This window comes from Homo sapiens, chromosome 2 (assembly GCF_000001405.40).
Source record: "Homo sapiens chromosome 2, GRCh38.p14 Primary Assembly".
NCBI classification, from domain to species: Eukaryota; Metazoa; Chordata; class Mammalia; order Primates; family Hominidae; genus Homo; species Homo sapiens.
The window spans coordinates 146,535,558-146,549,730 of record NC_000002.12 but is presented as its reverse complement, the minus strand read 5'-3'; the positions used below and the strand labels follow the sequence as shown (position 1 = coordinate 146,549,730).

The following is a 14,173-nucleotide window of genomic DNA, read 5'->3' as shown; positions in this document are numbered from 1 at the left end:
TGTTGCCAAAACAGATTAACATTTGAGCCAGTGGGCTGGGGAAGGCAGATCCACCCTTAATCTGTTGGGCACAATCTAATCAGGGAATATAAAGAAGGCACAAAAACGTGGAAAGTCCAGACTGGCCTAGTCTCCCAGCCTACATCTTTCTCCCGTGCTGGATACTTCCTGCCCTTGAACATTGGCCTCCAAGTTTTTCAGTTTTGGGACTTGAACTGGCTCTCCTTGCTCATCAGCTTGCAAACAGCCTATTGTGGGACCTCATGACCATGTAAGTTAATATTTAAAAACTCCTATATATATATATATATATATATATATATGTATATATCCTATTAGTTCTGTCCCTCTAGAGAACCCTGACTAATACAGATTTTCATACCAGGAGTGGTTCTAGAGGAATAGAATATTAAGGATGGAATTATTTCATTGGTCTTGGGGTTTCTGCATTTGGCTGCTTAATATGATTAGATCCAACAATGCTAAGGACTCTACTTCTAATAGTATGAAGAACACTGATAGTCCTTGGCATGAACTATTTAGAGAGTTATGAAAAATAAATGCATTTGACATTCCTGACTCACTGCTCCTGAGAGGCAAGGAGTTTAGTGACTCTCTACATAATACTTTTGACCATATGTGGAAAACATAATGAACCTGGTTGGTTGTTCCTAAGTTCAGTGGACAAACTGATGAAAGAAAATGATGAACTCAGGGGCTCTGTCTCCCAGCTTCAGAAGCAGATACTGAGCCTCAAATCTGCTAAGATTGCCCTGAGTCAGAGTCTTATTTCCTTTAGAGAAAGAGCTGAAATTGTGGAAAAACAGACACAAGCTCTGCGAGTGGCTGATCTGCAATGAAAGATGTATGCACAGCCTCAACAGGTGTCTACTGTTAAAGTGAGGGCATTGATTGGAAAAGAATGGGACCCTGAAACTTGGAATGGGGACATGTGGGAGGGCCCTGATGAAACTGGGGACACTGAGTTTGTAAACTCTGATGAAACTTTTTTGCCAGAAGGAGCAGCTTTCCCATCTCTAGTGGAGACAATATCCCCTCCCTATCCTATGCTGCCATCAGCCTTTCCACCTTTGTCTGAGGAGATAAACCCTGCACTGCCTGAGGCAGCAGTGATGACCTCCCCTGAGGCAGTTGCCAGACAAAATAATGTTGATTCTTCTCAGGAGAAACCCCCAACACCCCTGTTTGCTTCTACAACTATAGCTAGACTGAAGTCCTGGCTGGCCCCTGGAGATGAGATTGAGACTGTGACCCATGAGGAAGTGTGCTACACTCAAAAAGAACTATTTGAGTTATCTAATTTATATAAACAGAAATCTGGAGAATAGGCATGGGAATGAACATTAAGGGTGTGGGATAATGGTGGAAGGAACACAGAGTTGGATCAGGCTGAATTTATTGATTTGGACCCACTAAGTAGGGACTCTGCTTTTAATATTGCAGCTCAAGGAGTTAAAAAAGGTTCTAATAGTTTATTTGCTGGTTAGCTGAAATGTGGATTAAAAGATTGCCCACTGTGAGTGAGCTAGAAATGCCTGATCTCCCTTGGTTTAATGTAGAGGAAGGGATCCAAAGGCTTAGGGAGATTGGGATGGTGGGGTGGATTAGTCACTTTAGACATACTCATCCCAGCTGGGAGGGTCCAGAAGATATACCCTTAACCAATGCCTTGCAAAATAGATTTGTGAGGGCAGCACCTGCATCTTTGAAGAGTCCTGTAATTGCTCTTCTCTGTGTGTCAGATCTAACAGTGGGAACTGCAGTCACTTGACTACAGAAGTTAAATACAATGGGAATAATTGGATCCCGAGGTGGCAGGGGCCAAGTGGCGGCACTCAACTGTCAAAGGCAAGGTGGGCATAGCTAACATAATGGACAGCAGAGGCAAAGCAGCAATCAGAACAGTCTGACTCATGTAGAGCTCTGGCATTGGCGAATTAATCATGGACTCCTTAGAAGTGAAATTGATAGGAAGCCTACTGCATTCCTAGTTAATTTATACAAGCAGAAAAACTCGAGGTCGAATGGACAAAAGACTAAATTATAAAAACTGAGGATCATGGCCCCTCAATCAATTTCCAGACTTGTGCCAGTTTACAGACCCAGAAACCCTTGAATAAAGGGGACCCTGGGTCCCCTTGAGAAAGAACCCCACTACATTACCGACAATTTATGCAGTGAATCTTTCTCCCATCCTTCTGCAAGGACACTTCCAGCCTTTTACCAGGGTAACTGTGCACTGGGGAAAGGGAAATGAGACATTTCCGGTACTGCTGGACGCTGGCTGTAAGCTCACGTTGATTCCAGGGGACCCAAAACGTCATTGTCCTCCTCCAGTTAAAGTAGGGGCTTATGAAGGTCAAGTAATTAATAGAGTTTTAGCTCAGATCCAACTTACATTGGGTCCAGTGGGTCCCTGAACTCATCTTGCGGTCATTTCCCCAGTGCCAGAATGTATAGTTGGCATAGACATACTTAGCAGCTGGTGGAACCACCACATTGGCTCCCTGACTGGTGAGGGCTTTTATGGTGGGAAAGGCCAAATGGAAGCCATTACAGCTGCCTCTACCTAGAAAAATGGTAAATCAAAAACAATATTGCATCCCTGGAGGGATTGTGGAGATTAGTGCAACCATCAAGGACTTGAAAGACGTATGGGTGGTGATTCCCACCACATCCCTGTTAAACTCTCCCATTTGTCCTGTGCAGAAGACAGATGGATCTTGGAGAATGACAGTGGATTATCATAAGGTTAACCAAGTGGTGACTCTAATTGCAGCTGCTGTCTCAGATGTGGTTTCATTGCTTAAGCAAATTAACATATCTCCTGGTACCTGGTATGCAGCCATTAAATTGGAAAATGTCTTTTTCTCCATTCCTGTCCACAAGGCCCACCAGAAACAATTTGCTTTCAGCTGGCAAGGCCAGGAATATACATTTACTGTCCTATTTCAGGGGTATATCAACTCTCTGTCTTTGTGTCATAATTTTATTTGGAGAGAACTTGATTGCTTTTTGCTTCTGCAAGATATCACACTGGTCCTTTACATTGATGACATTATGCTGATTGGATCCAGTGAGCAAGAAGTAGCAAACACATTGTACTTACTGGCGAGACATTTGTGTGCCACAGGATGGAAAATAAATCCGACTAAAATTCAGGGACCTTCTACCTCAGTAAGACTTCTAGGGGTCCAGTGGTGTGGGGCCTGTTGAGACATTCCTTCTAAGGTGAAGGATAAGTTGCTACATTTGGCCCCTCCTACAACCAAGAAAGAGTCACTACACCTAGTGGGCCTATTTCAATTTTGGAGGCAACACATTTCTCATTTGGGTGTGTTACTTCGGCCCATTTATTGAGTGACCTGAAAGGCTGCCAGTTTAGTGGGGTCCAGAACAGGAGGAACCTCTGCAACAGGTCCAGGCTTCTGTGCTTTTCCAATAGTGCTTGCTATGTCAGTGGCAGATAGCGATGCTGTTTGGAGCCTTTGGCAGGCCCTCATAGTTGAATCACAGCAGAGGCCTCTAGGATTGTGAAGCAAGTCCCTGGCATCTTCTGCAGATAACTACTCTCCTTTTGAGAGACAACTCTTGGCCTGTTACTGGGGTTTGGTAGCAACTGAACGTTTGACTTTCGTTCATCAAGTCACCATGGCACCTGAATTGCCTATCATAAACTGGGTGCTTTCTCACCCATCTAGCCATAAAGTGGGTCACGCACAGCAGCATTCCATCATCAAATGGAAATGGTATATATGCGATTGGGCTTGAGCAGGTCCTGAAGGCACAAGTAGCTTACATGAGGAAGTGGCTCAAATGCCCCTAGTCTCCACTGCTGCCACCTTGCCTTCTCTCCCCCAGCCTGCACTGATGGCCTCATGGGGAGTTCCCTATGATCAGTCAACAGGAAGAGAAGACTAGGGCCTGGTTCACAGATGGCTGGTTCTGCACAATATGCAGCCACCATCCAAAAGTGGACAGCTGCAGCACTACAGCCCCTTTCTAGGACATCCCTGAAGGAAAGCGTTGAAGGGAAATCTTCCCAGTGGGCAGAACTTTGAGCAGTGCACCTGGTTGTGCACTTGGCATGGAAGGAGAAATGGCCAGATATGCGATTATATACTGATTCATGAGCTGTAGCCAATGGTTTGGCTGGATGGTCAGGGACTTGGAAGAAGGATAATTGGAAAATTGGTGACAAAGAAATTTGGGGAAAAGGTATGTGGATGGACCTCTCTGAGTGGTCAAAAATCGTGAAGATATTTGCATCCCATGTGGATGCTCACCAATGGGTGACATCAGCAGAGGAGGATATCAAGTGGATAGGATGACCCATTCTGTGGACACCACTCAGCCTCTTTCCCCAGCTACCCTGTCATCACCCAATGGGATCATGAACAAAGTGGCCATGGAGGCAGGAATGGAAGTTGCACGTGGGCTCAGCAACATGGACTTCCACTCACTAAGGCTGACCTGGCTATGGCTGCTGCTGAGTGCCCAATTTGCCAGCAGCAGAGACCAGCACTGAGCCCTCAATATGGCACAATTCCTCTGGGTGATTAGCCAGCTACCTAGTGGCAGGTTGATTATATTGGACTTCTTTCATCATGGAAAGGGCAGAGGTTTGTCCTCACTGGAATAGACAATTAATCTGGATATGGGTTAGCCTATCCTTCACACAGTGCCTCTGCCAAGACTACTGTCCGTGGGCTCATGGAATGCCTTATCCACCGTCATGGTATTCCACACAGCGTTGCCTCTGACCAAAGCATTCACTTTACAGCTAAAGAAGTGTGGCAATGGGCTCATGCTCATGGAATTTACTGGTCTTACCACGTTCCCCATCATCCTGAAGCAGCTGGATTGATAGAACGGTGGAATGGCCTTTTGAAGCCACAATTACAACATTGACTAGGTGACAATACTTTGCAGGGTGAGGCAAGTTCTCCAGAAGGCCATGTATGCTCTGAGTCAGCATCCAATATATGCTACTGTTTCTCCCATAGCCAGGATTCACAGGTCCAGAAATCAAGGAGTGGAAGTGGAAGTAGCACCACTCACCACTCACCATCACCCCCAGTGATCCACTAGCAAAATTTTTTGCTTCCTGTTCCCACAACATTACATTCTGCTGGCCTAGAGGTCTTAGTTCCAGAGGGAGGGATGCTGCCACCAGGAGACACAATGATTCCATTAAACTGGAAGTTATGATTGCCACCTGGACACTTTGGGCTCCTCCTACCTTTAAGTCAACAGGCTAAGAAGGGAGTTACAGTGTTGTCTGGGGTGATTGACCTGGACTATCAAGATGAAATCAGTCTACTACTCCACAATGGAAGTAAGGAAGAGTATACATGGAATACAGGAGATTCACTAAGGCATCTGTTAGTATTACCATGCCTTGTGATTAAGGTCAATGGGAAACTACAATAGCCCAATCCAGGCAGGACTACAAATGGGCCAGACCTCTCAGGAATGAGGATTTCTGTCACTCCACCAGGAAAAAATCCATGACTTCCTAAGGTGCTTGCAAAGGGAATACAGAATGGGTAGTAGAAGAAGGTAGTCATCAATACCAGCTATGACCACGTGACCAGCTGCGGAAATGAGGACTATAATTGTCATGAGTATTTCCTCCTCCTTTTGCTAAAAACATGTTTGTGCATGTATACACTTGTACTAAGAAAATATCTTTATTTCCTCTATCATGTGACATAAGATTTATTGAATTCATACCAGCATTGAAGTATTGTTAACCTTATGTAATAGTATTTGAGTAGGGGATTGGTGCATTTCCAGTTGTACAAAGGATAGTTGTATTATGTTAGGTGTAATTATGATCTTATTATTGTCTTTATTTGAAGATTATGTATGATCTCAGGAGATGTGTATGAGTTCAAGTTGACAAGGGGTGGGCTTGTGATGGTTAATACTGAGTGTCAATTCGATTAGATTTAAGGATACAAAGTATTGATCCTGGGTGTGTCTGTGAGGATGTTGCCAAAGGAGATTAATGTAAGATACAGTGAATTTCTCTGAGTTTCTCTTCAAAGATTTAGCCTGCTAACTTCCTTGTCTTTTATTCTTAAACTCAACTTTCCTGTTCCTCCTTGCACCTAGTTACTGTGAAACAGCCTAACCCCTTCCCGTCAGCTCTAATCAATAACTCACATCTGTTCGCTTGGTTACCTGCACCTATTGATCCCCAAGAAACTGCACATCTCACAAGCTTCACCACTGTACCTCACGTCCCCCTTACATATTTAGAAAAATATTTGCAAGTAGCCAACTGGGTCAGCTCAGAATATGTGGTCCGACCCCAGCCCATGGGGGAGTGACATAGAGGTAGGGACTACCGTCAGAGATAAAAGCTTGCTGCTCTCCTTTGTTCCCTGTGCTGTTGCGACCTTGATTGATGCAGGTAGCACCCTTTTGCAGAAGTAAATTGCCTTAATTAGAGAATTAAACTTTGGCCTGAGTGCTGGTTTCACTTTGTAGCACCGAGCATTTATTCCTAGAGCACTTTCTATCCAACATTAACATTTGAGTCAGTGGGCTGGGGAAGGCAGATCCATCCTTAATCTGGTGGACACCATCTAATAAGCTGCCAGTGAATATAAAACAGGCAGAAAAATGTGAAAAGGCAACACTGGCCTAGTCTCCCAGCCTACATTTTTCTCCTGTGCTGGATGCTTCCTGCCCTCGAGCATCATACTCCAAGTTCTTCAGTTTTGGGACTCAGACTGGCTCTCCTTGCTCTTCAGCTTGCAGACAGCCTACAGTGGGACCTTGTGATCATGTAAATTAATAGTTAATAGATTTCCCTATGTGTGTGTATACATATATACATAGGGTATATATATTTATGTGTGACATGTATATGATATATATATACACACACATAGGATATACATATATATACACACATAGGAGATATATATATATATATATATATGGAGAGAGAGAGAGAGAGAGAGAGAGAGAGAGCTCCTTTTAGTTCTGTCCCTCTAGAGAACTTTTACTAATACAGATGTCTACAATGCATCTAGGCCTGATTAAAAGTCTACTGGCTGTTAGGCATTATTTTAAACACCTATGGTCTTGTCTTAGCTAAAATTCAGCTTCAGGTTTCATGCCCAGCACAAAATAATTTTCACAAATGGTGTAGAAAAGAAGCATATTATTAGGCTTATTAGACATAGGCTGTGGCTTTCCTGCTTTTTATTTTTAATAAACTTTGGACTTGGGACTATTTTTAGATTTACAGAAAAGTTGCAAAGAAAGCGCAAAGGATTCCCTCATATACTCATATTATTTCCTCTGTGAAAGGAGAATAAATCTTGGGACCCCAAAATTACTAAGCCAAAGGGAAAAGTCAAGCTTGGAACTGCATCAGTATACTACCTCCCATTTTATTACTAAATAAGATAGCTACAAAGATTTTTTTCTTTTTTCTTTTCTTTCTTTCTTTCTTTCTTTTTTTTTTAAAGCTACATACCTCTCAAAATTCACCCACAAGGGAATTCATTGTTGGTCTCAAGGTTTTTACCCTAAAACAGTTCTGTTGAATTTCACCTTGGGCAATGTAAATTAATAGCTTATCTTCACAGATGTGGGGGCGGGGAAGGACAGAAGTCATTCCTCTGCTCACCTGAGACAAATGCATATCTGATTGCTTCCTCTGTCTTATTGTTTATGTAAAAATGCAGATTCACTGAGTCAGACTAAGGCATAAGTGACTATTTCTCTACCCCCTTTCACATGTAAATTGTATATTTAGTGAGAGGCTGATCAAAGACTCAAAAGAGTGCAACTGTTCATTCCTTATCTACCTGTGACTTGGAAGCCTTTCCAGACACAACCGGTGTACATCTCCCACATATTGGTTGATGGCTCATGTCTTCCTAAAATGTCTAAAACCAAGCTGTGCCCTAACCACCTTGGGCACATGTCATCAGGGCCTCCTGAGGCTATGTCACAAATGCATCCTTAGCTTTGGCAAAATAAACTTTCTGGATTGAGAACTGTCTCAAATACTTTTGTGTTCAAACCCCAATTCCCTAATACACTCACCTTATTTCCCCTACCATTTCCCTGCTAATATTACAAAGCTGATATCACATATAGTAGGGTACTCAAATATCTCTTGACTGATCAAGTTGCTCGCATATAATATTTTCCTTACTAGGCTCCAAACATTACTTAAACTGTTTTTGTGTGTGTGTGTGTGTGCGTGGTTTTTTTTTTTTTTTTTTTTTTTTTTTTTTTTTTTTCAAGACAGAGTCTCACTCTGTTGCCTAGGCTGGAGTGCAGTGACCCGATCTTGGCTCACTGCAACCTCTGCCTCACGGGTTCAAGTGGTTCTCCTTCCTCAGCCTCCCAAGTAGCTAGGGCTACAGGCGCATGCCACCACGCCCGGCTAATTTTTTTGTCTTTTTAGTAGAGACAAGGTTTCACCATGTTAGCCAGGATGGTCTTGATCTCCTGACCTTGTGATCCGCCCAACTTGGCCTCCCAAAGTGCTGGGATTACAGGTGTGAGCCACCCACCGTGCCCGGCCAACTGTTATCTTTAATTTTCATAACAAGTCTGTGATGTTGATACTTCCCCCTGCCCCCCCCCACCCCGCCCCACAGTTTAGGTAGGAAAAAACAAGATTCCAGGAAAGGAAATAGCTTATCTGAGGCAAACAGCTCTTAAACAATAGAACAAGGTGTCTAACTCAGGTCTGAGTGACTCCAAAACATGTTATTTTCAAAGCACCCCAGGTCTTCAGTACTTGCTTTGTTAAACAGTGCCTAGTCATCAGAATTTCTCACCCTCCCTTAAAGCTCACAAATGGTCTGTCTTATTGATACTGGTTTGCCAAGCTCTACCTTCCCTCACCTTCCTCAGGGCTGAGCTCTCAGAAGAATGTGGGAGGCTGGGAGGAGAGTGCTTTAGAGTTTGGCAAGTTAAGAAGAAGCCGAGGTAAAAACTTATTTTTGCCACTTCTGGTATTAAGAAACAAGGCCTTTCACTGCTTCTTCCTCTGTTTATGCAAAAGCTCTCATTAGCATTTACATGCATTCTTTGTCTTCCAAGTGAAAAGAGAAAGGATAGGGCTTTAGAGGCTGCTTTTAAAAAATGTTCTCTTCTTTTATCTGGAGGAACAAGCTGTAAAATACTCTTAGAAAACCACTTAAGAGGCTAAAAGGAAGAATGGTTGTGAGACTATTGCATTTTTTTCTCCCCAAAACAGTGGCTTTGTTTGTGTCACTCAAAGACATGTTGAAAGCAGGAGGAGGAGAAACTACTCAGAAGGTGCTAGGAGTGGAATTGAGGTACATAAGTCTCTCCTCAGGGTTTCTACCTCTCTGAACTCCCCCTTCTACCTCAAAACTCAGCTCCCACCCTGTTTTATAGAGATACCTAGTTTCATGCGCGTCCATGTGAAGAGACCACCAAACAGGCTTTGTGTGAACAATAAAAGCTTTTAATCACCTGGGTGCAGGCGGGCTGAGTCTGAAAAGAGAGTCAGCAAAGGGAGATGGGGTGGGGCCGTTTTATAGGATTTGGGTAGGTAAAGGAAAAAGGGGGGTTGTTCTCTGGCAGGCAGGAGTGGGCGTCACAAGGTGCTCAGTAGGGGAGCTTTTGAGCCAGGATGAGCCAGGAGAAGGAATTTCACAAGATAATGCCATCAGTTAAGGCAGGAACAGGCCATTTTCATTTCTTTTGTGGTGGAATGTCATCAGTTAAGGCAGGAACCGGCCACCTGGATGTGTACGTGCAGGTCACAGGGGATATGATGGCGTAGCTTGGGCTCAGAGGCCTGACACCTAGAGAGCAAGGATTGTGTTCAGAAGATATGTTTGGGCATTTTGAGTTAAAAATCTGTAAAAGTATTTGCCTATATATTTAATCATTATACTTGGTTAAACAGCTTATGGTCATTACTACAGTTACTCTCTTTGGAACCCCGAAAATATTTCATATGAAAACATGCAGCAGTTCCCTGATTAGCTGGGTGGCATTATGAGAGTGCACATGGCATTATGAGAGCATACATGTCATAAGCTTACTTAGCATTTATCTTATAGAAATTGAAAAGTATTCTTATAACATTGGCAGAAAATAATCCACTTGAAATACCTAAAATATGTCATATTTCTCCCTCTATTATTAAGGCAATAGTCAAAGCAGGTAATTTTGATTTGCAAGTGGCTGTGGTTCTCCTTCCATCGTGTGGCTCTGCATCTTCAACACATGGTTTCCAAGGTCACCACAGAAGGTCAAATAAGTGGGGATCACATTCAGGAGGTTACTACAGCCCATTCTTGAACGTGGCTTATTTCCATTCTTCTTATGCTTCATAAGCCAGATGGGAATTATTTGGGCTCTGAATATGATACCTGAAAGCATGACACTTTGACATGCTGACGATTTTGAGCTGAATAAGATTGGGAAGGCCTCAGAAACAAGACAGTTTCATAGACCTGCTCCAGCCTTGCCTTCTCCGGTCCCATTTTCTTCCCCCAAGTGGGTCTTAGAAACTAGAATTCCTCTCCACCGAAGCAAGCCATAAAAGCTAGGAAGGTCACGCTCTGATCTTTTCCGTTCTCCCATGAAGATCCTCATGTGACAAGTGTCTTGCCCCATAAATGGGGAGGAATATCAGCCTGAGACACAGAAAAGACGAAACAAACAGGCCTTCCTGAGTTTCCCCCAGTTCATTACCATTAGGTCATATTCCTTTTTGTTGAGACATGTTTCTTCTCCACAATTATCCTCTTCTTTCATCGGACTTAACATAAAGATACAGTTTTCCCTGCATCTTTAGGCCTTCATTTATGAGTGCTCCCATGCCATGTAAAACTTTGATTAAATAAAATTGCTATGCATTTCTCTTGTTAATCTGTCTTTTGTTTATAGGGGCCTTGGCCATGAACCTTGTGATGGGGGAGGAGAAAACTACTTTTTCTTCCCTCCAGAGTGGTGATTTATCCAGATATCCAGAGGGAAAAGGAAACTGGTGTGGTGAAGAGCTCCTCCAGTCTCTGCTATGCTTAGCAAGTTAAAATACATTCCCAATATATTTAAAACTTCTTGTCTCTTAATTCCATTAAATATAATCTATCATTTTTTTCCTTCATCCTCTAACCAAATTTTCCCCTTTTCCTCTCTTTCAGCTTTTCACACCTTTGCCCCATTCACAGGATTCATTGCTTTCTTCCCTTCCGTTTTCTTCTTTATTGCAGCCGGGACATCGGATTAGCCAGGCAACCTTTTCCACCACCCACAGTAGCCTTACCTCCTGCTTCTGCCACAGCTGCCCTGCCAGTCAGCCAGACCTGGCAAATCCGATCATCTACTTCCTCCACTTTTGTTGCACATGGAAAACACCCACCATCACTATCACCACCAAAAGACACTCATTAGTCATTATAAACCTCTTTCCAACCTAACTCTAATAATCCTGTTGGATTACCATTGATTTGTGCTTAGTTCATTTCTTCATTCCCCAAAGCAAATATTTCAAACCTTTACAATTTACTTTAAGCCACCTATTTATCCCTACCTCCCTTGACAACAGAAGATTGGCTTGACACAGGAAAAAGAAACAATAAATCACATGCTAATTTCCTCACATTCTACCTCTGACCATGCATATGTTTTCTGTCCTGCTTTGTTCCAATGGGCTCTTTTACTCAGGCTGCTCCTTGCCCTTGTCTTGTTCTTGATCTCTTCTTTACTCTCCATCTACCCCTTCTCCCCATTTACTTATTTCTGTTCCCATGTGTTTTGTCTTGGTAAGAAAGCTTTGATTCGTCTTTGAAAATGCACCTGAAATATCATTGTATTTGTCTGCTGTGGCTGCTATAACAAATGAACAGACTAGATGGCTTGAACAAGAGAAATGAATTTTTTGACAATTCTGGAGGCTGTGAAGTCTTAGATGAAGATGCCAGCTGGGTAGGTTTTATTCTGAGGCTCTACTCTTGCTTGCAGGCAGTCACCATCTCCCTGTGTGGTCACATAACCTCTTTTTTGTGTGCACACATAGAGGGAGAGAGAGCGGGTGCGCTCAGTGATGATGTCTCTTTCTTTCTTCTTTTTCTTTCTTTCTCTTTCTTTCTTTCTTCTTTTTCTTTCTTTTTCCTTCCTTCCTTTCCTTCCTTCCTTCCTTCCCTTTCCTTCCTTCCTTCCTTCCTTCCTTCCTTCCTTCCTTCCTTCCTTCCTTCCTTTCTTTCTTTCCCTTCCCCTTCCCCTTCCCCTCCTCCTCCCCCTCCCCTCTCTTCCTCTCCCCTCCCCTCCCCTACCCTCCCCTTCCCTTCCCTTCCTTTTTCTTTCTTTCTTTCAGACAGGAGTCTCGCTCTGTTGCCCAGTCACAAGCTCCGCCTCCTGGGTTCATGCCATTCTCCTGCCTCAGCCTCCCGAATAGCTGGGACTACAAGCACGTGCCACCACACCTGGCTACTTTTTTGTATTTTTAGTAGAGACAGGGTTTCACCGTGTGAGCCAGGATGGTCTGGATCTCCTGACCTTGTGATCCACCCGCCTTGGCCTCCCAAAGTGCTAGGATTACAGGCATGAGCCACCGCACCCGGCCTATCTCTTCTCATAGTGACGCTAATCTTGTTGGATCAAGGCCTTATTTTACCTTAATTACTTCTGTAGAGTTCCCATTTCTGAATAAAGCCAAACTGGTAGTTAAGGCTTCAGCACACAGATTTTTGGGGGACAAAAACATACAGACTGTGACGGCCATCTTCACCATCCCCTTCACAGTGAAGCCTTTGAAATAACCCAGGCAGAGTCTGTGCCCATATCTATTGGAATAGTGTGTTCTACCATCATGATATTTTTAAAAGTGAATTTCTTAAATATCCTCCCTGGACTAAGAGCTAGACAGAGATAAAAGCCACAGTCATTTTTCTATCAGATCCAATACTTTGCACAGAGTATATGACACAATAGGTACTCAATAGCTGTGTTTGATTGAGCCACGAGATCTTGAAAGGTCAACTAAATGATCAGAGAGATAATAAACTATGGTGCATATAGTTTAATAGCAAGAGTGTTTTATTTGATTTAAATTATCTTGAAGTTTATTCCCTGTATATGACATGCATTCATTCTTCAAGAGACTATTTAATTCAACCCAATTCTATGAACACCTGGACAGAATTCCATTTGCATATGTCATTGATGTGCTTTGGATGTTTGTCCTTTCCAAATCTCATGTTGTAATGTGATTTCCAGTGTTGGAGATGGGACCTGGTGGGAGGTGATTGGATCTTGGGGATGGATTCCTCTTGAATGGTTTAGCACCATCCTCATGGTGATGAGCTCTCACTCAGCTAGTTCATATGAGATCTGGTTGTTTAAGAGTTAGGGACCTCCTCCTCTCTCTCTTGCTCCTGCTCTCTCCATGAGACATGCTGGTTCCCGTCGTCTTCTGCCATGATTGTGAGCTTCCTGAGGCCTCGCCAGAAGCAGATGCCAGCACCCTGCTTCCTGTACAGCCTGCAGAACTGTGAGCCAATTAAATCTCTTCTCTTTAGAAATTACCCAGTCTCAGATACCCCTTTATGGCAACGCAAGAACAGACTAACACAGACATCTGAAGTAATGTATAAATTCCTTAAGAATGGAAAGGAATGGAAAGATTCAAAGATTTTTATTCCATTGAGCTTGTGTATCTCAAAAAGGCTACTAGTGTAAAACTACTGTTAGAATTGAACATTTGTTATGAATTTAGCACAGTATCTAGTTACGACTATTTCTTTCAAGAGATCTGGGTAGTTCACACACGTGTGTTAAGGCCTTAATGCTGTATTCCTTCTTTGTCATCATTTTAGTCATGGCCTGATGAAAACTTTTTTTTTCTTTATCAATTACAACAAGGAATTGTAGATTACTTTTTTTTAAGCTTGCTGTTTGTGATTATTTTTACTAGTTCATCAACTCCATAGTTGTCATAAAGGCATTTTTGCATGAAATTTAATTTCTGCAATGAAGGTTAAAAAATTATCTTGCCTCATCAATGAGGAACACTACCACATTTCCCGTCCCCCACCCCCCATTTTCTGTCAGAGCAAAATAATCTCTTGAATTATCTGTATAAAATATTTCACATTGTTCTGGCAATGATCTGGCTCTATCCCTTGAT

The 14,173-nt window shown here is 42.9% G+C and overlaps 5 annotated features.

The window, feature by feature from the left end:
- Positions 7,432-7,943: an enhancer, noted in NCBI's record as "NANOG-H3K27ac hESC enhancer chr2:147299356-147299867 (GRCh37/hg19 assembly coordinates)". NCBI's record gives its function as "activates a minimal SCP1, AML or CMV promoter by ChIP-STARR-seq in primed H9 embryonic stem cells {active_cell/tissue: H9 hESC(primed)}" and the evidence as "EXISTENCE:reporter gene assay evidence [ECO:0000049][PMID:30033119]".
- Positions 8,460-9,088: an enhancer, noted in NCBI's record as "OCT4-NANOG-H3K27ac hESC enhancer chr2:147298211-147298839 (GRCh37/hg19 assembly coordinates)". NCBI's record gives its function as "activates a minimal SCP1, AML or CMV promoter by ChIP-STARR-seq in naive and primed H9 embryonic stem cells {active_cell/tissue: H9 hESC(naive and primed)}" and the evidence as "EXISTENCE:reporter gene assay evidence [ECO:0000049][PMID:30033119]".
- Positions 9,089-9,719: an enhancer, noted in NCBI's record as "OCT4-NANOG-H3K27ac hESC enhancer chr2:147297580-147298210 (GRCh37/hg19 assembly coordinates)". NCBI's record gives its function as "activates a minimal SCP1, AML or CMV promoter by ChIP-STARR-seq in naive and primed H9 embryonic stem cells {active_cell/tissue: H9 hESC(naive and primed)}" and the evidence as "EXISTENCE:reporter gene assay evidence [ECO:0000049][PMID:30033119]".
- Positions 9,416-9,710: a silencer, noted in NCBI's record as "tiled region #508; HepG2 Repressive non-DNase unmatched - State 24:Quies, and K562 Repressive non-DNase unmatched - State 24:Quies". NCBI's record gives its function as "represses a minimal TATA promoter and a strong SV40 promoter by Sharpr-MPRA in HepG2 and K562 cells {active_cell/tissue: HepG2 | K562}" and the evidence as "EXISTENCE:reporter gene assay evidence [ECO:0000049][PMID:27701403]".
- Positions 9,720-10,349: an enhancer, noted in NCBI's record as "OCT4-NANOG-H3K27ac hESC enhancer chr2:147296950-147297579 (GRCh37/hg19 assembly coordinates)". NCBI's record gives its function as "activates a minimal SCP1, AML or CMV promoter by ChIP-STARR-seq in naive and primed H9 embryonic stem cells {active_cell/tissue: H9 hESC(naive and primed)}" and the evidence as "EXISTENCE:reporter gene assay evidence [ECO:0000049][PMID:30033119]".